Genomic DNA, 23,297 nt, shown 5'->3' with positions numbered 1-23,297 from the left:
GTGTTAAATCGTAACTGTGTAAAGTTAATTGTAACACATACCGCATTACCGTGATAATTTAAAGACGCAGTGTTAAATCGTAACTGTATAAAGTTAACTGTAACACATACCGCATTACTGTGATAATTTAAAGATGCAGTGTTAAATCGTAACTGTATAAACTTCACTGTAACACATACCACATTACTGTGATAATTTAAAGATGCAGTGTTAAATCATAACTGTATAAACTTCACTGTAACACATACCACATTACTGTGATAATTTAAAGATGCAGTGTTAAATCGTAACTGTATAAAGTTAATTGTAACACATACCGCATTACTGTGGTAATTTAAAGATGCAGTGTTAAATCATAACTGTATAAACTTCACTGTAACACATACCACATTACTGTGATAACTTAAAGATGCAGTGTTAAATCGTAACTGTATAAAGTTAATTGTAACACATACCGCATTACCGTGATAATTTAAAGATGCAGTGTTAAATCGTAACTGTATAAAGTTCACTGTAACACATACCGCATTACCGTGATAATTTAAAGATGCAGTGTTAAATCGTATCTGTATAAAGTTCACTGTAACACATACCGCATTACCGTGATAATTAAAAGACGCAGTGTTAAATCGTAACTGTATAAAGTTCACTGTAACACATACCGCATTGCTGTGATAATTTAAAGATGCAGTGTTAAATCGTAACTGTATAAAGTTCACTGTAACACATACCGCATTACCGTGATAATTTAAAGACGCAGTGTTAAATTGTAACTGTGTAAAGTTCACCGTAATATTGCACTACTGTGATAATTTAAAGATGCAGTGTTAAATTGTAACTGTATAAATTTCACTGTAACACATACTGCCCTACTGTGATAATTTTGTAGCCATCTCCTGTTGTTATTTTAATCAGCCCAAGTGTTGCAAATATCCCCTTAAAATGTCATGTGACAAAGTAAATTATCTAGGCGGTGGCTCATGCCTATAATCCCAGTGCTTTAGGAGCCCGAGGAAGGAGGATCACTTGAGGTTGGGAGTTTGAAACCAGAAATTTTTTCTACAAAAGAAAAATTAAAAAATTACCCAGGCATGGTGGCGCCTGCCTGTAGTCCCAGCTACTCAGGAGGCTGAAGGAGAGGATCAGTTGAGCCCAGGAGTTGGAGGCTGCAGCGAGCCATGACTGTGCCACTGCACTCCAGCCTGGGCGATGGAGCAAGACTCTGTCTCAAAACAAAAACAAAAACAAACATGAACAAACCCGCTAATTATCTCCACATGAGCAGCTTACCTCTCCAGTAAGTTGTGAACAGCAGGAAAAAGTGATCGATTGGAGTTCTCCAGCGTCTTTCACTGTGTTTAGTGCAATGCCCTAAGCCTTATAGCAACACCGTAGGACCCAGATGAACTGCTACGGATGATGCTGGAAGTGCTCCCAAAAAGCAAAGGAAAGTCCTGACATTACAAGAAAAAGCTGGATTGCCTGATATGTACCATAGATTGAGGTCTGCAGCTGCGGCGGCCTGCCGTTTCAGACAGACCATTCATCTTGTAGACAGATGATATAAACTTACAGTAATCAGTGTCAGTACAGCACTGTCAATGTGTTTTCTCTCTGATTTTCTTAATAACATTTTATTTACTTTACTGTATATGATACATATACAAAAAACATGTTCATCGACTGTTTATGCCATTGGTAAGGCTTCTGGTTAATAGTAGGCTATTGTTACTTATGTTTTGGGGGAGTCAGAAGTTACACACGGATTTTTGATGGCACGGGGATTGGCAGCCCTAACCTCCATGTTGGTCAAAGGTCAACTGTGTTTGTGTGGGTGGGTGTATGTTTATGTTTTTTTTTTTTTTTTTTTTTGAGACGGAGTCTCGCTCTTTTGCCCAGGCTGGAGTGCAGTGGCGCGATCTCGGCTCACTGCAAGCTCCGCCTCCCGGGTTCACGCCATTCTCCTGCCTCAGCCTCCCGAGTAGCTGGGACTACAGGTGCCCACCACCACGCCCAGCTAATTTTTTTTTGTATTTTTAGTGGACACGGGGTTTCATCATGTTAGCCAGGATGGTCTCGATCTCCTGACCTCGTGATCCTCCCGTCTCGGCCTCCCAAAGTGCTGGGATTACAGGCTTGAGCCACCGCGCCTGGCCTGTTTATGTTTATATATAAAGACACACATAATACATATTATATACCTATATAAAATGTATAAAAATAATATGTTTATATATACAATAGATGTTTATATGGTATATATATGTTTATAGATACTATATATGTTTGTGTATAATATATACATTTCTTTCCTTCAAATTATTTGAACCAGTTTTAACATCTTATTGGTTTCTTCGTCAAAGTGTTGAATAAAATTTTACATCAAAGGCATGATTTGACCTTTTTGAAAACCATAATTTAGCACAGAAATAAAATGCTTCCCCCTTTACTTTAAAAGAACAACTCTCTATCTTAACATTTTTGTTTTCTTTTTTTTTTGAGGCAGAGTCTCACTCTGTTGCCCAGGCTGGAGTGCAGTGGCGCAGTCTTGGCTCACTGTAACCTCTTCCTCCCAGGTTCAAGCGATTCTCCTGCTTCAGCCTCCTGAGTAGCTGGGACTACAGGCGTGCGCCACCACGCCCAGCTAATTTTTGTATTTTCAGTAGAGACAGGATTTCACCATGTTGGCCAGGCTGGTCTTGAACTCCTGGCCTCAAGTGATCTGCCTGCCTTGGCTTCCCAAAAGTGCTGGGATTACAGGCGAGAGCCACTGTGCCCGGCCTCATTCTATCTTAACTTCGATTTATTTATCTGGAAAATGCTTCTAAGCCTGCAACAGCACAAGGAATGGGCAGCTCTTGGAGCACAGCTGTTTGTCTCCTCAGTCGGACCAAGTTCCTTGAGGTCAGAAAGTATGAGAAAGTACGATGTCTTTATTTCTGCTCTTGCAGACCTGCCCAGCTCTTGGCACAGAGCTGACGTTTTGTGAGTGGCTAAATGAGCAAAGCAAGGGGAATGGAACCGATTCTCGTAACTCTGAAAGAGATTGGGCAAGTATACTCCTGTTGGATAGATGAGGAAACTGATACACAGAGATGTAAGTGAATCGCTCAACCTCACAATGCTAGTCAGTCACCAAATGGGTTGGAACCCATGTTCCTAGTTCCACATATCCTGCAAGAGAGCGGTAGACTTTACAATGATGTAAGTGAATTGCTCAACCTCACAATGCTAGTCAGTCACCAAATGTGGCCAGAACGCATGTTCCCAGTTCCACGAATCCTGCAAGAGAGTGGTAGACTTTACAATGATATTTGTTGACCAACCAGCGAGATGGTGGCATCTTCACTGTTGGTGTCGGCTTCCTTGTTTATACTTTGTCTTTGTGGTTTCAGAGACTATTATTGTTATGAGCTCTTCGAACATTCTCCAGAGTGGAAGTTTCTTTCCCAAGAAGGACCAGGTTTTCCCCTTTGGTTGGCACTGATGTGGGCAAGCCCTGGGCAGGGCTTACGGTTCATGGCTTTCCTGCTGTGTGCTCAGCCTGGGTCCCTCCAGCTGGCCCGGCTGCTGATTCCAGCTTTCCACTCTGTCCTGCCCACACTGTGAGTGTCTTCCCCAAGGCAGACAAGCAGTGTCCACACTTCTGCAGCACCAGCCTTCGATGTGGGCAAGAGGAGTCCCTTCCCTCTGTCCCGTGCTCCATCGGATCCTGCTGTCTCCACTCCAGCTGTATCTCTCCCTGAGAGATGGGAATCACGTGGAATCGAGGGGTCTCACCCACGTAGAGCCTATCCCCCCTCCTTCCTTCTAGCCCACAATCCGAGTACCTGGGACCTCGGAGTTTCTTGCCCAAATAGCCTCAGCCTGCTTGTAGGGCCTATGTGGGCCTCTTTCCTGGGTCTTTCCTCCGGAGCACCCTTAGGCCCAAGGGCAGCATGGATGGAAACTGCACAGGGCAGGCTCAGGCGTCCACACCCAAGTGCTCACGGGACCTTCTCAGTGCTGGAGCTGGAAGTAGGAAGAGGAGGTGCAGGCCTGGGGCAGGCTGCAGAACCCTGAAGAATCTGAAATTCGAAATTTAAATCTGACCTTCCAGGTTGTTACGAAAGTATATTCGTCAAGGTAGGAGAACAGTGCATATTTCACTTAACAGTTTGTCATAACTTTTAATATTTAGACATAAGGTGCGTGGGCCGCTGTGCCTGCTCTTGCCCCAGGCTTTGCAACTGTGAAGAGCAGGTCTGTGCTTCCCTCTTCCTCCTTTGAGAACTCACTCCAACCGCTTCCTGATTTTCACTTCATACCTTAAAAAAAAAAAGGAAAAGAAAAACTCTACAACTAGTTAAGCAAATTGTACTACCTCCATATGGTGGACTACTTGGCTGCCTCTAAAAAAGAACGAGGCAGCTCATTTTAGGCTGATGTGGAACAAAGGCCAAGACTGTTCATGGAGAGGGAGCGAGGCGCGGTGTGTGCGGTTTGCTAACATCTGCTGCCCCCGTGCTCCACCCCAACCCCAGGACCTCCTTGCTGTTTCTCCGGCACCTGGAACACTCTTGCCCTGGCTGTCCTTGCTTTGTTCACGTGTTACCTTATCAGAGAAGCCTTTCCTGACCTTTCCCCTGTGTCCCTTTGCTGTGCTTACTCCCCTCCACAGCACGAGTGCAGCTTGACATGTACATCTGTTTATCTGTGTAGCACTTTCTCTTTCTATTAGAAACAGGAAAGCTGGAAACTTTGTTTTGTTCCCGGCTGTACCCCCATCACCTAAAGTAGTGTCTGGCATACAGCAGGCTTTCAATCAATACTTACCACATAAACACGTGTGTAAAAAAGGTGCCATCTATGCATATATGTATGTGCCTGGAATACTGCTAAAAGGATACATAAGAAATGGGTAAAATGACTGTCTCTTTGGAAGGAGAGGAAAAGACACTTCGTTTTCACTCTATCTTCTTTTGTGATCCTTCATTTTGTTGCCACATGGATATAATACTCATTTTGAATATTTTTTCTTTTTTTGAGACAGAATCTTGCTGTGTCGCCCAGGCTGGAGTGCAGTGGTGCGATCTCGGCTCACTGCAACCTCTGCCTCCTGGGTTCAAACAATTCTCCTGGCTCAGCCTCCCGAGTAGCTGGGATTACAGATGTGCGACATCATGCCTGACTAATTTTTCCATCTTTAGTAGAGACGGGGTTTCACCATATTGGCCAGGCTGCTCTCAAACTCCTGACCTCAGGTGATCCACCTGCCTCGGCCTCCCAAAGTGCTGGGATTATAGGTGTAAGCCACTATGCCTGGCCTGAAAATTTTTTTTAAGTTGCACAAATTCATCAACAGAAGGAAAAAATTTAAAAAGTGGTTGAGAGCTGGACATGGCAGCTCATGCCTGTAATCCCAGCACCTTGAGAGGCTGAGGCGGGCGGATCATCTGAGGTCGGGAGTTTGAGACCAGCCTGGCCAACATAGTGATATGCTGTCTCTACTAAAAATACAAAAATTAGACTGGTATGGTGGCTCCCGCCTGTAGTCACAGCTTCTTGGGAGGTTGAGGCATGAGAATTGCTTGAACCCAGGAGGCGGAGGTTGCAGTGAGCCAAGGTTGTGCCGTTGTACTCCAGCCTGGGTGACAGAGCGAGAACCTGTCTAAAAAAAATGGGGTTGAGTTCTGGTGTGGTGGCTTACACTTGTAATCCCAGCACTTTGGGAGGCTGAGGCAGGAGGATCACTCAAGGCCAAGAGTTCAAGACCAGCCTGGGCAACATAGGAAGACCCTATCTCTCCAAATTTTTTTTTTTTTTCTTTGAGAGAGAGTCTCATTCTGTTGCCCAGCTCACTGTGACCTCCTCCTCCTGGGTTCAAGTGATTCTCCTGCCTCAGCCTCCTCAGTAGCAGGGATTACAGGTGCGTGCCATCATGTTGCTAATTTTGGTATTTTTGGTAGAGACGGGTTTCACCATGTTGATCAGGTTGGTCTCGAACTCCTGACCTCATGATCTGCCCACCTCGGCCTCCCGAAGTGCTGGGATTACAGGCCTGAGCCACCATGCCTGGCCTAATTTTTTTAAAAAATTAGCCAGGTGTGGTGGTGCACCCACAGTCCCAGCTACTCAGGAAGCTGAGGCCGGAGGATCACTTAAGCCTGGGATTTCTAGGCTGCAGTGAGCCAGGATGCACCACTGCACTGCAGCCTGGTGACAGAATGAGACCCTCTCTCAAGAAAAAAAAAAAAAAAGTGGTTGAGTTTCATGATGGAATATTATATGGCAATGAAAAACAAACAATGGTCTAACGTGACCACCCGTACAAATCCCTCGAATGTGCAGCCAGAATCCTGTAAGTTTTGGAAGAATACAAATGGGCAAATCCATGGAGACAGAAGGCGGGTTAACGGTTGCAGGAGTTGCAGGGAGGGCGACATTGGGAGTGACTATTTCATGGACATACAATATTCTTGCCCCACCCCCGTCGACAGTGCTCAGAGAAAAAGAATGTTCTTATATTATCTTCCTTGTATGTGGAGGTTTATTACGGGAATTGGCTTACACGATTACGAGGGCTGAGAAGTATCACAATCTGCCACCTGCCAGCTGGAGAACCAGAGAGCCAGTGACAGAATTCAGTCCAAAAGCCAGAGAACCAGGAGTTTCACTGTTCGAGGACAGGAGAGGGTGGATGCCCCAGCTCAAGACCAGAGAGCAAGTTCATCCTTCCCCTCCTTTTTGCTGTGTCCCTACCTGACTGGATGATGTGCCCACTCACATTGGTGAGGGTGACCTTCACTCAGTCCACGATTCAAACGCAAATCCTTTCCAGAAACACCCTCTCAGACACACCCCCAAATAATGCCTAACTAGCCACCTGGGCATCCCTTATCCAGTCAAACTTACACTCAAAATTAACCATCAAAATTCTTATGGGGTGATTGAAAAACGTTTTGAAACTAGAGAGAGGTGGTGGTTGGATAACATTGCGAATGCTCTGAATGATACATGTTAGAATGGTTAATTGTATGTTATATGAATTTTGCCTCAATTTTTAAAAGCATGCAGCATGACTGGGCATGGTGGCTCACGCCTGTAATCCCAACAGTTTGTGAGGCCGAGGCAGGCAGGTCACTTGAGCTCAGGAGTTTGAGACCAGCCGGGTGTAGTGGTACGTGCTTGTAGTCTCAGCTAATCAGGAGGCTGAGGTGGGAGGATCGCTTGAGCCCAGGAGGTCAAGGCTGCAGTGAGCTGAGATCACACCACTGCACTCCAGCCTGGGTAACAGAGTGAGACCCTGTCTTAAAAACAAAAGAAAACAAAATAAAACAAAACATACAGTATGATACCATTTATGTAAAGTTTAAAACACACAAAACAGCCGGGTGTGGGGGCTCACGCCTGTAATCCCATCACTTTGGGAGGCCGAGGCGGGCAGATCACGAGGTCAGGAGATCAAGACCATCCTGGCTAACATGGTGAAACCCCATCTCTACTAAAAATACAAAAAACTAGCCGGACGTGGTGTCATGCGCCTGTAGTCCCAGCTACTCAGGAGGCTGAGACAGGAGAATGACTTGAACCCGGGAGGCAGAGGTTGCAGTGAGCCGAGATCGCGTCACTGCACTTCGGCCTGGGCAACAGAGCGAGACTCTGTCTCAAAAAAAAGTGTCAGAATGAAAAGTAGACTTTGCTGAAGACTGTCTCCACTCGAGCAAATTCTAGTCTCCTGTTGCATTTGTTTCCTGGGGCTGCCCTAGTAAATTACCACAAACTGGCTGACTTAAAACAAAATGGATGTATTATTTCACAGTCCGGCGGCCGGAAGGCTGAAATCAAGGTGTCAGCAGGGTGGTCCTCCCTCTGGAGGCTGCAGGGGAGAATCCGTCCTTCCTTCCTCCCGTTTCTGGGGGCCCCAGGTGTCCCTGGGCGTGTGGCTGCATCACTCCAATCTCTGCCTCCATCTTCCTAGGGCCGCCTTCTAGTCTCTACGTACATCTTATAATGATGCTTGTCACTGGATTTAGGGCCTACGAAATGTCCAGGATGATCTCATCATGACAGCCTCAATTTAATTATGTCTGCAAAGACCCTTTTACCAAATAAAGTCACAGTCACAGGTTCTGGGAATTAGGATGTGGACATATATTTTTCAGGCCATCATTCAACCTACTAGATCTATAAATCCGAGTTTCTTTCCTTTTTTTTTCTGAGACAAGGTCTGCTGTGTCCCCCAGGATGGAGTGCAGTGTCGCAATCAAGGCTCACTGCAACTCCACCCGCCAGGTTCAAGCGATCCTCCTACCTCAGCCCCTCAACCTGCCCGGCCTCCGTAGCTGGGAGTACAGGCACGCACCACCACACCCTGCTAATTTTTTTATTTTTAGTAGAGACACGGCGCTCGCCATGTGGCCCAGGCTGGTCTCAAATTCCTTGGGCTCAAGTGAGCTTTGAGCTTCCTGCTTTGGCTTCCCAAAGTGCTGGGATCACAGGCGTGAGCCACTGTGCCCGACCTAAATCCAACTTTCATTCTTTTTTCCAATTCCACCCCCCCCTCTTCCCTGCAGTGCAGGTGCTGGCAGGTGGAAGGAGGGCTCTCTTCTCTTTCTCCGTCATCCTTCTGCTTTGATCCTCTCCAGATCTGGGCATCGGAGGATTTCCCGGGAGCCCGTTTGTAATACATCCTCAGGCCGGCCTCTTGATCCTCTCCAGAGGCGCATCTCAGCCTCTGGTGACGGGTTCCCTTGCCCCCGGGGCTTCTTCAAGGCTGCTTGACCCCCGCTTTCTTCCAGTTTCTACTTGGCTTTTGGGAAACTCTCCTGGTCAGACAGTGGGAAGGAGGCCTGCTCCGCCTGGTCAAGAGTGGGAAGGGGGGCCGCTCCGCCTGGTCAAGAGTGGGAAGCGGGGCCGCTCCGCCTGGTCAGAGGGTGGGAAGGCGGGCCCGCTCCGTCTGGTCAACAGTGGGAAGGAGGCCTGCTCCATCTCTACGCAGTTTTGCCGCACTACTGCAAGCACAGAGCAGTTTCCTCACCCCTAATTCTCCAGGCTAGAAATAGGTAACAGGCTCTGGACACATGGTTTGGGTTAAGGGGTGGGGTGGGGGTGGGAGGGTGACCCCGGGGGACATTTGGCAACACCCGAAGACATTTTTTATTGTCACAGCTGGGGGTTGGATGTGTGCCACTATGATTTAGGGGGTAGAGGCCAGGGATGCTGCTACACATTGTACCATACACAGGACAGCCCCCTCACCCCCCAGAGGAATACCTGGCTGAAAAAGTCAATCGTGCTGTGGCTGAGTAACCCTGCTCAGGGTTACTGCGCCCGAACTCCAGGACCCCACACTCTGCTCCTGGAGCTGTGGAGTGCCAGCCAGGCTTCTGGGGAGGGAGAGGGCCATCCTGCAGGCAGCCTTGATTTCTTGGAAGGATCTTCTGGTTGGGGTCGGGGGGGGTGTGGGTGAAGGGAAAACACAGGTGGGGTTAAAGACAAACTTGTCTTCTCATAACCTGTTGACCTGTTGCCTGGGTAGCTCCCCTCCCAAGGAATACGGTCCTCTGGTATCAGTGGGGAGGGAGTGAGGGGCAAAGGACCAGCTTGGTTCCCTCTTGGAAAGTCTTGAAGGGTATCTGGCAGCTCCTGTTGAGCAGTGAAGGTCCTTATCACTTATCCACCTCAGTGAATATGTCTGAATGTATCCCAAAGGCTTATGTGCTGGCAACTGAATCCCAGTGTAACAGTGGTAGGGGGTGGACATGTTCAATAAGAGCCTGATACGAGGTGACTAGGTCATGAGGGCTGAGCCCTCTTGAATGGGTTAATAGTGTTCTGGCAGGGCTGGGTGCGGTGGCTCACGGCTGTAATCCCAGCACTTTGGGAGGCCGAGGCGGGCGGATCACGAGGTCAGGAGATCGAGACCATCCTGTAAATGGTGAAATCCCATCTCTACTAAGAATACAAAAAATTAGCGGGGCATGGTCGTGGGCACCTGTAGTCCCAGCTACGTGGGAGGCTGAGGCAGGAGAATGGCGTGAACCTGGAAGGCGGAGCTTGCAGTGAGCTGAGATCGTGCCACTGCACTCCAGCCTGGGTGAAAGAGCGAGACTCTGTCTCAAAAAAAAAAAAATTTTTGTTCTGGCAGAAGTGAGTTAGGTCTCATGAGAGCACGTTGTTCTAAAGTGAGCTGACCCTGGCGACTCTCCCTCCGCTGTGCGCACACTGGCTTTTGCCTTCTAACTTCCACCGAGATGACCTGCCCTCGCCACATGCTGGTGCCATGCTCTTGGACTTCCCAGGCTCCAGAACCATGAACTGAATATACTTTTTTTCTTTATAATTTACTCGGTCGGTGGCATTATGTTATAGAAACAGAGAACAGACTAAGACAGCGCTCCTAGTAGAAATTCCTAGACAATAGGAAGTGCCCAGTAGTGTTCATTTATTCACTTGAAGTCTGCTCCCCTCTCTAGACAGCAAGCTCCTTGGAGGCAGGGGATTCTCTTCACCTCTGTATCCCCAGCTCCTGCAACTGTGCATAACAATTATCTGTTGATGAGTAAATGAAGAGTTCGCCTTATTTAGAGAATCGTTGGATTTATGGCTAGCAAGATCTCTCTCTCTCTCTGTCTCTGTCTGTCTGTCTGTCTGTCTCTCTATTAGTAATCCCAGTAATTTATTTGAAGAAAGAGAAGAAATGAGCTTGCTTGGACCAAGGAGCAAAAAGCAAAGACAGGAGACCACTTTGAATGTCATTGAGTAGATGGGGAATGAGGCTCTTGCCTAGATTATGGGAAGAGGAGTTAGTAAAAGGGCTGTATCACCAGCCCCTCCCCATGACATTGGAGTGAGGGGCTGTGCAGCTGGGTGGCTGGTTAGGGTGGGGTGCACACGTGTGGAGTGCGGGGCTGTGCAGCCCGGTGGCTGGTTAGGGTGGGGTGCACACGTGTGGAGTGAGGGGCTGTGCAGCCCGGTGGCTGGTTAGGGTGGGGTGCACACGTGTGGAGTGTGGGGCTGTGCAGCCCGGTGCCTGGTCTAGGGTGGGGTGCACACGTGTGGAGTGAGGGGCTGTGCAGCCCGGTGCCTGGTCTAGGGTGGGGTGCACACGTGTGGAGTGAGGGGCTGTGCAGCCCGGTGGCTGGTCTAGGGTGGGGTGCACACGTGTGGAGTGAGGGGCTGTGCAGCCCGGTGGCTGGTTAGGGTGGGGTGCACACGTGTGAACACCTGTGTGGCATCAGCCCCCACTCTGCAGTGAGCATGCAGGAGCCCCCCCACCCCACCCACCATGAGAGGATGAGGCCGCCTCACACTGGGTCGGGGGAAGGGGAGTGGAACGGTCCTGAGTGTGCTGCCTTGTGGGCCAAGGGGACAAACGCTGGGGCAGGAGAGAAGGGAGTGGTTTCTGGAGTTAGCCAGGAGGCTGCACCTGTGTTCACCTGTTAGCTATCCTCAGGGCACAGACAGAAAAAGATGGTTTTGTTACTGTCATTCGGACCTTATGTGGTAAGACCTGGGAAAACAGGGGTTAAGTGAAACATGTGAGAATCCCGTCTAGGAAGAGCTGGCACAGAGCAGAGGTGCAACGAGTGTTTACTGAAAGCTGTAATGGTGAATAGAAGGTTGGGCGATTGGGTTCGTGTGGGCTCCACAGGGGTACAGCTATAGCCAAGAGGAAGGCTTCAGGGAGGCAGCCTCGGGTCACCTATGCGTCTTTCTCAGGCGGTTGGCCATCCCAAGGAAGGTCGAGTCACCCCAGAGACACGGAGTGGTCTACCCCCGTCTGTGCAAGCGGCGGTGCGAGCAGCTCCTGGGGGCTGGGGGGTGGGCTAAGGCCAGCGGAATTCCTGCACCCTTGAGGCTTTAGGGTTAGGAGGTGAGGAGGGAATATTAACATTAAGAATGCTCTCCAGCTGAGGGGCCTACAGTGAGCGAGACCTGGGGTCACGACCTCATTCAGTCATCACAACAGGACTATTGTTGTCTCTGTTTTGCACATAAAGAAACTGAGGCTTGGAGTTCGAGACCAGCCTGGGTAACACAGTGGGACCTCGTCTCTACAAAACATACAAAAATTGGCCGGGCGTGGGAGCGGTGCCTGCGGTCCCGACTGCCGGGGAGGCTGGGGTGAAAGGGTCGCTGGAGCCCAGGAGGCGGAGGCTGCAGTGAGCCGCGCCCCTGCCGTCCAGCGAGACCGTGGGGACCCGCCCCGCGGCGAGGTCACCATCCAGAGGCCGCCCAGCAGGTGCCCTCCGGCCCGGGCTCTGCGGCCACAGGTCCCAGCGGGGCGGGGCGGGGCGGGCGCCGGTTTCACGGTTTTGCCGCCAGAGGGCAGCGAGGGAGCGCGCGGGCTGCGGGGCCGAACCCCGGGTGAGTCCGGGGGGGAAGCGGGGCCGCCCCGGGTCCGGGGCCCAGTCCGAGGGCGGGGGGTGCGCGCGGCTCAGCGGCGGGGCCGGCGGGGCGCACAGGGAGGCGGCGGGGACCTGGGAGCTCTTGGCGCCCCGGGCGGGGGCGGTTCCGGGGCCGGCGGGGCGCGGGCAGGGCCTGGAGCTGGGTTTCCTCCCGCCGGCGGCCGGAGCCTGGGCTGCACCCGACTCCCCCGAGCAGCGCCCGGGCCCGGAGCCCCCCGCTCCGAACGGCCTGCGCTCCGCCCCGACCTCGGGGACCCTCGGGGACCCTGTGGTGCCCCCAGCTCGGGGTGCGGGTGGGGGGGGGCGGGGACGCGGCGGGGGGTGGGGGAGGGCGGCGCCGGGTGAGTTCCGGGGAGCGAGTCCACAGCGCGGCGTTTCCCAGCGCCCGCCCCGGCGCGCACGTGCGGGGAGGGGCCCGGGGGTCCAGGCTGCCGCCCCTCTGCACCTGGCCTCGCCTGCGGCGTGGACCCGACGCCCCACGAGACTGGGGGCCCCCGTGGGGGCCCCGGGCCCTGCACACTTGGGCTTTCGCCCGCGGCTGGGTGGTCGGAAGGGGGGTCGTGCGTGCAGGATTTGGGGGGCCCTTCTCACAGCCGAGACCGACGACGCCTCCACTCGCCCCGCCCATCCCTTCCAGCCTGAGTCCCGCGGGGTTGGCTTCCAGCCCTCCCAAAGCCGCTTCCCGGAGTCGGGCGGAGGCGTCGGGGAAGCGCTTCCATCCGTCCCAGGCGCCTCACTGCTCGGGACGACGGCTCTGGGCCCGCCGTGGAGCCGCCTTTCCTTTCCTGCGCCGCACGGAGGCCTCTGCCGGGGGCGCTGGGGCTTGTGCCTCCTGCCCGGCTGCTCAGAGGGCAGAGCGACCCCAGGGTCGCCTGGGTCCGTAACACCTTGGGGGTCGTCCTGCGGGGAGGCGTCTTGCTGCAGGTGGAGACCCGTCCCCGGGGAGATCAGAGCCACGGAGATTCCGGGGAATGGTCACTGTCACCCTACATCTGTGCAGCGCGCACCTTTGACCCTCCCGGCAGCCTGAGGGCAGGGGGAGCCCTGGGGACGCCCCTGCAGACCCTGGTGGGCGCGTGGGTAGAGCCAGGACTGCAGTCCCGTCCCCGCCCCGCCCCGCCCGACACCGGGGGAGATCGCGCCCCGGGCCGCCTCCAGCCCCCAGCCCCACCCCCACTCCGCGTCTCTGACATCCCCTCGGCCTCCCATCTCCCATCTCCTGAAAAACACAAAACCCGGCATCGGAGCCGTCAGCTTGTTTCCTCTTTTCTCTGTCACGTTTTCCCACAAGAGCTCGGCACCTGCTGCCCCCTCCCCTCCAGCCGCCCCCTCCCCGCCAGCCGCCCCCCTCCATCCTCTGCAGCCTGGCTGCTGGTGGCCACTTTGCTGAAACTTCTAAACCCAAAAGTCGTTTTGTTTCCAAACACGCCTCTTCTGTGGTGCCTCGGTCGCTCTCCCCGGGAAGCGGACCCCTGCGCGCTGGTGTCCAGCTTGCAGCCTCCCCGCCGTCACTTCTGGGCATGCCTCTCTCCTGGTTCCTTCTCCTTTGCTGAGCCTTTTTCCCTCTTTCCTGGGACTGTTTTCCCAGGCCCTGTGTTGTACTTCTCACGGGGCTGGCTCCAGGAGTCCTCTGGGAATGCCCCCTCTGACTTCCAGCCCACCCTGTCTTGCTCTCTGGGTGCCACGGTGTCACCGCAAACTCAGCGCACCCGACTGGTCTCCTCCCAGGCAGCTGCCCTCACTCACTTCCCGCTGGTGGGTTTCCCTCATTCTCTGTCATTTACACTGGTCTCCAAAATGTGTCTGCCTCTCCCCTCTCCTTTGTGATGGATTCCTACAGGCCTTGAACATCTCAGTCCAGAGTACAGAGGCCTCTTAGCTGTTCTCTCTCCTGTGGGAACCCCCTCCAGCCCCATGTGGCAATCCATCCGGCATGTCCCTTCTAGAATGATGGTTCGTTTCACCCTGTCACCGACCCCCGCCCCACCGAGATATCTTCAGAGGCTCCATATGTCCTCCTGGGCAAAGCTCAGCTCCCCTGCCTGCATTTGAAGGCCCTCAGTCACGTGGCCTCATTCTCTCAAACTAATTTCCAATCCTGAAGCTTCTTGCCTCCTGCCCCTGGTTGGGCCCTCTCGCCCCTACCCTCTGGGACTTGGCTCAGGTGCAGTTTCCTTGGAAAAGCTTTGCTCACCTCCCTGGCTGCACCGGGGACCCTTCCCTGGCTTTGCTCACCTCCCTGGCTGCACCGGGGACCCTTCCCACTCCACGATGCCCTCAGGCCACCAGCTGCAGCTGTCGGCTGATCTCACATCCCCTTCTGTCCCTGATGGCAGCGGGAAGCTTGTTCCCCTTCTCTCTGGCTCTCCAGGACTGGGCGCCCTGCAAGCACTCAATGGAGGCATTCCCACCCTCAGGCCTCCAAGAACACCTCCCCAGCATCCTTAATACAATTGAGAGTTCAGTTCAAGCACCACCTCCCTCCTGGACGGTTCCGTTCGTCCAGTCCATCTGCGTTCCTGCTGGGCTTGTTGATGGATCCGTTGCAGGTTGTCCCACACGGTTTAGTATTTTGTTCTCTGCTATTAGCCTCCCACTGTATCATGAGTGCGAGATATACTTTTCCAGCTCTTAATCATTGCAGCTGTTTGTTGAGTGGGTTGTCCCGTGCCGGGCAGTGTGCTAATCATTCCAGGTAGTCCCTCGTTTTCCTTTATCTTAGAAACATCCAGAGGGGTAAGCATTAGGATTATTGTCCTCATTCTGTTCATAAGGACACAGAGAGGGCCAGAGACCTTCCTAAATCACACAGCATATAGGTGGCCAAGGTGGAGGCTGGAACTCAAGTCTGTCTGACTCCTAAGGCTGTTTTTAGATGCTAGGATTTGCCGTTTGTCCAGGAAGGCGTGTTTTTCAGTCCAGGGAGTGTGTGTTACATTTCCATGTCTTCTCAGCCCCTGGCCCAGGTGTGCAGGACTTCCTGGTGGCTCGGTTGGTTGCTTGCTTGCTTGGGACTCTGCTGGACTCCAGGAAAGGACTTTGTAACAAACAGATGGTTAATGATGGGACCAGTGATCCAGGGAGGCTATGACATCAGCCCCAGGAGGCCTTGGAAACAGGCCGTGTTTTTCTGTCTTGCCTTAAGTAAGAGTTGTGAATAGAGAGAACCTTGCAAGGGCCCTGGGATCATTTCTGCCTCTTAAGGCACCTTAAAATGCCCTTTTTTTGTAAACAAAACTAACTCCCCTCACCCCAAATGGGAAAGCCTTCAACTAAGTTTCTTTAGGAGACGTCCTTCCGTCCTTCCCTTCTCTGTGCAGGTCACTGTCATATGAAAACGAACTCCTGCTGTGAAACACGGTTACCATGGCAACCGGTCTTGCAAGGCTGGAATCTCCTGCTCCTGGGCCTCTTGCACTGTATGCTTTGAGGGGATTTCTTCCGTCTTTGTCATCTAAAAAAACAAAATACTCCAGTTCACTCTTCTTTTGCATCAACATTTAAAAACATTTTTTTCCCAGGCAGTGATTTTTGGGTACTTTGGGTGCCCCAGCAGGTTGTCATCAGGCCGCTGGCACACCATTAATAATGACCCCAGCAAAGTCACTGTGGTCGAGGTCCCATTTTGAGTGACATCCAGTGCCTCATGCATGAAAGGACAGTAGCTGCGGCCGCCACACATCTCTGATGCCTGGAGAGGCTGAGGGACAGGAGTGATCTGGCGTGGAAGGGAGGGCTTGCTGGTGGAGCTCAGCTCTAGCTGGAGATGGTAGAGTTGCTTGTCCTCAGTTGCGATCTCCTTTTCTTTGAGGACGTTGCTCACAGATATCCGGGCAGGGGACGCCCAGAGCAGGGTACTGCAGGGGTGTTGAGAAAGACAGGATACCTTCAGCAGGAATCATTGCTATGAACACTGATGAGTGCTCACCTTGTGCAGATGCTGCTCCCTTGTTTAAACCTCAGCCAAATGATGTTAGAGTACTATTCCCATGTTACAGGTAAGAAAACTGCTGCACAGAGAGGTTGAGTGTTTGTCCAAAGACACACAGCAAGGAGGGAACTTTAGTCCTAGAAAGTCTGACTCCTTTGGCCAATAGTCTTTAAAAAATTTTTTTTTCATCTTTTTATTACCCAGACTTCAAGGAGATGGCCAATACCCTTTACATGGTGCTCTGTAGACAGTGGAAGGACCATGTTTAAAGAATGAAAGGGTAAATTGGAGAGGTGGGGCACATTGGCTTTCCCAAGATTTGAGGCTTAAAGCAGTAGTTTTCAATGATGTATATTTTAGGATGGGTTGCAGTGAAAAGGCATATACTAGAATGTTCATAGCAGCACTATTTGTAATAGCCAAATCCACCCCCCAGGGAAATCCTACAATGTTTATCAGCAGTAGAATGGACACATAAACTGGGGTGAAGGCAGACAATGGAGCACCCCACTGTGGTGAGAAGGAACAATCTGACCACACAGCATACGTGGATGAATCACACAAACACAATGTCGAGTAAAAGGAACGAGACAGAAAGGAGCATGTCCTGCCTGATTCCACGTCTATAAAGTGCCAAAAGGGCCAAATGCACGGACGGTGTTGGAAGTGGGGGTCGTGGTTTCCGGGAGGTATGAGGAGGGCTTCTGGGAGCGATGAGGAGGGCTTCCGGGAGGCATGAGGACGGCTTCCGGGAGGGATGAGGAGGGCTTCCGGGAGGGATGAGGAGGGCTTCCGGGAAGCATGAGGAGGGCTTCCGGGAGGGATGTGGGGGGGGGGGCTTCCGGGAGGGATGAGCAGGGCTTCTGGGAGGGATGTGGGGGGCTTCCGGGAGGGATGAGGAGGGCTTCCGGGAGGGATGTGGGGGGCTTCCGGGAGGCATGAGGGGGGCTTCCGGGAGGGATGAGGAGGGGTTCCGGGAAGCATGAGGAGGGCTTCCGGGAGGGATGTGGGGGGGGGGCTTCCGGGAGGGATGAGGAGGGCTTCTGGGAGGGATGTGGGGGGCTTCCGGGAGGCATGAGGAGGGCTTCCGGGAGGGATGAGGAGGGCTTCCGGGAGGGATGAGGACGGCTTCCGGGAGGGATGTGGAGGGCTTCCGGGAGGGATGTGGAGGGCATCCGGGAAGCATGAGGAGGGCTTCCGGGAGGGATGAGGACTTCCGGGAGGGATGAGGAGGGCTTCCGGGAAGCATGAGGAGGGCTTCCGGGAGGGATGTGGGGGGAGGCTTCCGGGAGGCATGAGGAGGGCTTCCGGGAGGGATGAGGAGGGCTTCCGGGAGGGATGTGGGGGGCTTCCGGGAGGGATGAGGAGGGCTTCCGGGAGGGATGAGGGGGGGCTTCCGGGAAGCATGAGGGGGGCTTCCGGGAGGGATGAGGACGGCTTCCGGGAGGGATGTGGAGGGCTTCCGGGAGGGATGTGGAGGGCATCCGGGAAGCATGAGGAGGGCTTCCAGGAAGGATGAGGGCTTCCGGGAGGGATGAGGAGGGCTTCCGGGAGGGATGAGGGGGGCTTCCGGGAGGGATGAGGACGGCTTCCGGGAGGGATGAGGAGGGCTTCCGGGAGGGATGAGGGGGGCTTCCGGGAAGCATGAGGGGGGCTTCCGGGAGGGATGAGGAGGGCTTCCGGGAGGGATGAGGGGGGCTTCCGGGAAGCATGAGGGGGGCTTCCGGGAGGGATGAGGAGGGCTTCTGGGAGGGATGAGGAGGGCTTCTGGGAGGGATGAGGAGGGCTTCCGGGAGGGATGAGGAGGGCTTCCGGGAAGCATGAGGAGGGCTTCCGGGAGGGATGAGGAGGGCTTCCGGGAAGCATGAGGAGGGCTTCCGGGAGGGATGAGAAGGGCTTCCGGGAGGCTGGTACTGCCTGGTTCCTTTAATGGGGTGTCAGTCAGAGGGCTGCGTTCTTTCCATCAATGCCAACGCTTACCCGTTCCATGTGTGTACTCCTCTGTGTATGTGTTAGACTTAATACAATGGAGCGAAACAGGAAAAAAGGCTGCAGGGATCCTAAACCCGGGACGTGAATACAGACACACCATTCCAAGAGGCCACTTTGACTTCACTGTACCTGCAGCCTTGGGTTTCTCGTGACAGGTGGGAGGTGACATGAGGGTGAGCACCTAGGCTCCGGAGGGGTCAGCTCTGGGAACGAGGCAGCTGAGCCCGGGCTGGCTCTGGTTTCTTCCTGTCTACCTCCACCCTGCTGGGTCTGGGGAGAGCTCTCTTAGCTACAAGGTGGCTGCTTGGGTTGGGAGAGCCCCTGAAGTGGCCCTTTTCCTTGCTTTTGGGATGCTTGGGGGTGTAAGCACGGTGATGTGTGTACCCCCAGCTGGCTGTGGGGAGTCCGGCCAGCCTGTAGAAATTGCAGAACACGAGCGGAGCTGCAGCCCCGGGCACAGACATCCTCACCCCTCTGACAGCAGCTGGCTGCCTGCAAAGCACTGGCATTTCAAGGCCTGTGCCAGCCTGTACAGTAAGCAGCATTCATTGGGAGGGCGGCTTCTCCATTCACATGGCAGTTATCTGCTGCTGAAAATACCAGAGCACCTTATGTAAGACCGCAATTACGTCGTTAGCACCTCGTGTAAGAGCACTTATTTTACCATGGACACTTAATCAGTTGCGTGTTGGATACTGACGATCCGGTCCTGTCTCCATCACCCAGCTGTGCTCATGGCTAAATTTACATGTTGGTGCATTTTCATCTTTGGTTCTGGCCCATCCAAGCCGTTGAGTGACGCCAGGATTTAGTCTCCTCTTGCCCAGCCCCTCCTTCTCACTCATGGATGGAGTGATGGAGTACCCCCTGACTGACAGAGGTGCAGCATCTCAGAGTTAGGAGGCCTGCCTTCCTCATCCAAGAGTCTTCTCCACCAGTAGCCGGATGGGCGACCATTTGGGCTGTGCTCCAAGGCTGCCGATGATGTCGGCAGCCTGTCTCGGGGTGGGTGATGGTTTTCATAGTAAGGAGGAGCCACAGAGCTGCACTGAGGCCTGGAGTATCCCAGGGAGGTATGAATGCCTGGCTGAAGCCGACAAGGAGACATATCATAGAGATGGGGTCTGTAAATCTCTGGGATCCGAGGCTTGGAAAGGAACATCATGGTGGATGCAGTTTGGTGAGAACTGTTAAAATAAATGCAGCTGCCCTGTGACATAGTGATTCAGTGATTCTACTTCTCAGGATCTACCCTAAAGAAATGCTGGCACCTGTGCACAGGTGACAACTTCTGGGACAGCCTTTGTGACGGTCTGTGGTGGTGAAAGATCGTACACAGTCTGAATGTTTGTTCGTGGTGAGACAGCTCCGTAGACTTGTATTTTCATACCTTGGGCTACTGCGCAACGTTGAAAAGGAATTAGAACTTTATATAAGAACATGAATGACAAGGTGGGCAGATCACCTGAGGTTAGGAGTTCAAGACCAGCCTGGGCAACATGGTGAAACCCCATCTCTACTAAACATGTAAAAATTAGCCAGGTGTGGCAACACACGCTTGTAATCCTAGCTACTTGGGAGGCTGAGGCAGGAGAATCACTTGAACCCGGGAGGTGGAGGTTGCCATGAGCTGAGATTGAGCCACTGCACTCCAGGCTGGGCGACAGGGCAAGACTCTGTCTCAAAAAAAAAAAAAAAAAAAAGTGATGTCTAGTCTAAACCCCTTCCTGAGTGGAGATTCTTTGCTCCATTGGTCCCTGAGTCCTAGGTGGACTGAGACAGAGAGCTTCACTGCATAATGCTTTGCATTCAGGGGCAGCTCAGAAGGTGGAAATTCTTCCCTCTTTTGAGCTGAAATCTGCCTTTGTTGTCCCTCTGGAGCCTACACCTTCCCTTTTCCATGGGGCAAGAGTTTCATTGGTTTACGTTCCCTCTTGTGCCCTCCTCCTCTGGGCACCTCCAGGGTTTCCTGTTGTCTATAGGGTAATACAGCCCATGGCCTCCCGGGTCTGTGGTGCCGGCTCCTTGCTCACGCTCTGCCAGGCTCACCAGCCATCCCCTAAAGTCTGTGCAGAACTGGACTGTCCGCCTGGATGTTGCTTGACTTTCACATAAGAGTTCTTTAAAAAAAAAGTCTTTTTTTTTAAATTATAAAAGTAATTCATGTTCATTGTGGAAAATTTAGAAAATGCAGAAAGCACAAAGAGGAAAATAAAAATCCGTGATTCCCAACCTCCAGAGATAGCCAGTGTTTACTGCTTAAAAATGGAGATGATACTGTAGACATGATTTGGTAACCTGCGTTGATTTCTCTATATTGACTGACATATGTAACAAACATTTTTCCCCTCCTTTTGGCATTTTTCTTTGGTTATTTTTCTCTTTTTAAAGATCTTGTTGCATACCAAGTATTACGATTATTTTTAAACATAGAGAAGGTTTAAATGTTTATGTGGTAATACAGACTGAACGTTTGTGTTCCCCAGTATTCCTGGGTTGTGGCGTTCACCCCTAGTGCAGCTGTGTGTGGAGTCAGGAAGTAATTAAGGTTAAATGAGGTCAGAAAGGTGGGGCCCTGATGCAATACGTTAGTGTCCGTATAAACACAGATGCTGGAGAGCGCTCTCCCTCCCCTTCCCCATCCCCCTCCCCTCTCCCCACTCTCTCTTTCTCAACCTCTCTCTTTGTCAATCTCTCTCTCTCTCTCTCTTTTTAAACTGAAAAAAAATGTTTTATAACAGAGATGGGGTTTTGCTGTGTTGCCCAGGCTGGTCTCCATCTCCTGGGCTCAGGCAACCCTCCCACCTCGGCCTCCCAAAGTGCTAGGATTACAGGCACGAGACACTGCGCCTCGCCTCTCTCTCCCTTTGTCAATCTCTCTTTCTCTTTCTCAATCTCTGTCTCTCTCTCCTTTTCTCAATCTCTCTCTCCCTCTCTCTTTCTCTCTCCTTCTCTCTCTCTCTTGCTCTCTCTCTCCCCCTCTTCTCCCCACTCTCTCTGTCTCTGTCTCTCCCTTCCCCTGGGCCCTCACCATGTCCACAAGCCAGGAGGAGAGGCCTCGCCATAATCGGAGCCAGCTGGCACCTTGATCTTGGACTCCCCAGCCTCCAGGACTGTGAGAAGAAATGCCAGCTGTGTAAGCCGCCCTGTCTGCATATTTCATGGCAGCCTGAACTGACTAATGCATTTCATTAAGTCCATCAGTCTTTTCATCTTATGATTTTTCAAAAACCCTCTGTTTTGGGGTTTGAAACGTTTTCCTCACCCCAAGTTCAGATAAATGTTCAGTTCTATATTTTCTTCAGGTTCTTTTTTGGTTTCAGCCTTTCCATTCAGCTCTCTTTGACTTTCAATGCTAATCCAATCAAAATTTATTTTGTTTTGTGATGGAAGGGAAGACCTCGATTTTCTTTCTTTCCAAATTGTTGACCTATTATTTCAGTTCACTTTCTTTGCCCACAAGCTGTATTTTAAACTTAAATTTAATTTATTTTTGGAAGATACATTATGAGCATGTCATTTAAGGGGCCGGGTGCAGTGGCTTACGCCTGTCATCCCAGCACTTTGGGAGGCCGAGGCGGGTGGATCACCTGAGGTCAGGAGTCCAATACCAGCCTGGCCAACATGGTCATCCCCATCTCTACTAAACCCCATCTCTACTAAAAATACAAAAATTAGCTGGGTGTGGTGGCTGGCACCTGTCATCCCAGATACTCTGGAGGCTGAGGCAAGAGAATTGCTTGAGCCTGGGAGGCAGAGGTTTCAGTGAGCAAGATTGCACCACTGCTCCCCAGCATTGGCAACAGAGCGAGACTCTGTCTCAAAAAAAAAAAAAAATCATGTCATTTAAAATTCTAAAGGTGTAAAAAGGCAAATGGTGAGAGTCTTCCTCCTCCTTTATCCCTCAGCCTTTCGGGTCCAGGAACTGGTGTTACTAGATTTGAGGTATCCTTCTCTTTCCCTAACTGACTTGAAGTATTAGCTCATCTGCACACTGCACTTTTCTTTACCCATTTTTTCCCTTTTAGATTATTATTGATTTGTAGGAGATCTCCGTATGTCCGCGTACTGGTACTAATCAGATGTCTATTATGCTGCAAATATGTCTCTCAGTTTGTGGCTTGCTTTTTATCTATCTTAATGCATCTTTTGAACAAAATAGTCAAATGCTTCAGTAAGCTTACCATGAACTAAAGTTCAGTAGTTGTTTATGGTATTTTTCTTCCATGGTAAAACATGCATGCAACGAAATACACAAATCTTACCTGCTCCATCTGATGAGCTCAGATAAACACGCAGGCTTGTGCAACCCAGGCTGCTATCAAAATAGAGAACGTGACCACTGTCCCAGAGCATTCTCTCACACCCCGTCCCCGTCAATCCCTGTCCCACTCCCCCCGCAGTCAGCCACTCTCACGCCCCGTCCCCGTCAATCCCTGTCCCACTTCCCCTGCAGTCAGTCACTCTCACACCCCGTCCCCGTCAATCCCTGTCCCACTCCCCCCGCAGTCAGCCACTCTCACACCCCGTCCCCGTCAATCCCTGTCCCACTTCCCCTGCAGTCAGTCACTCTCACGCCCCGTCCCCGTCAATCCCTGTCCCACTTCCCCTGCAGTCAGTCACTCTCACACCCCGTCCCCGTCAATCCCTGTCCCACTCCCCCCGCAGTCAGCCACTCTCACACCCCATCCCCGTCAATCCCTGTCCCACTCCCCCTGCAGTCAGTCACTCTCACACCCCGTCCCCGTCAATCCCTGTCCCACTCCCCCTGCAGTCAGCCACTCTTTGGAGTTTTTTCACCAGAGATTAATTTTTTTTTTTTTTTTTTTTGAGACAGAGCTTTACTCTTGTTGCCCAGGCTGGAGTGCAATGGTGCGATCTCTGCTCACTACAACCTCCGCCTCCTGGGTTCAAGTGATTCTCCCGCCTCAGCCTCCCGAGTAGCTGGGATTACAGGCGTGTGCCACCACACCCAGCTGATT

Source organism: Homo sapiens, chromosome 17 (genome assembly GCF_000001405.40).
Source record: "Homo sapiens chromosome 17, GRCh38.p14 Primary Assembly".
Lineage (NCBI taxonomy): Eukaryota > Metazoa > Chordata > Mammalia > Primates > Hominidae > Homo > Homo sapiens.
The sequence above is the reverse complement of the archived record's forward strand: the minus strand, read 5'-3'. Positions refer to the sequence as shown.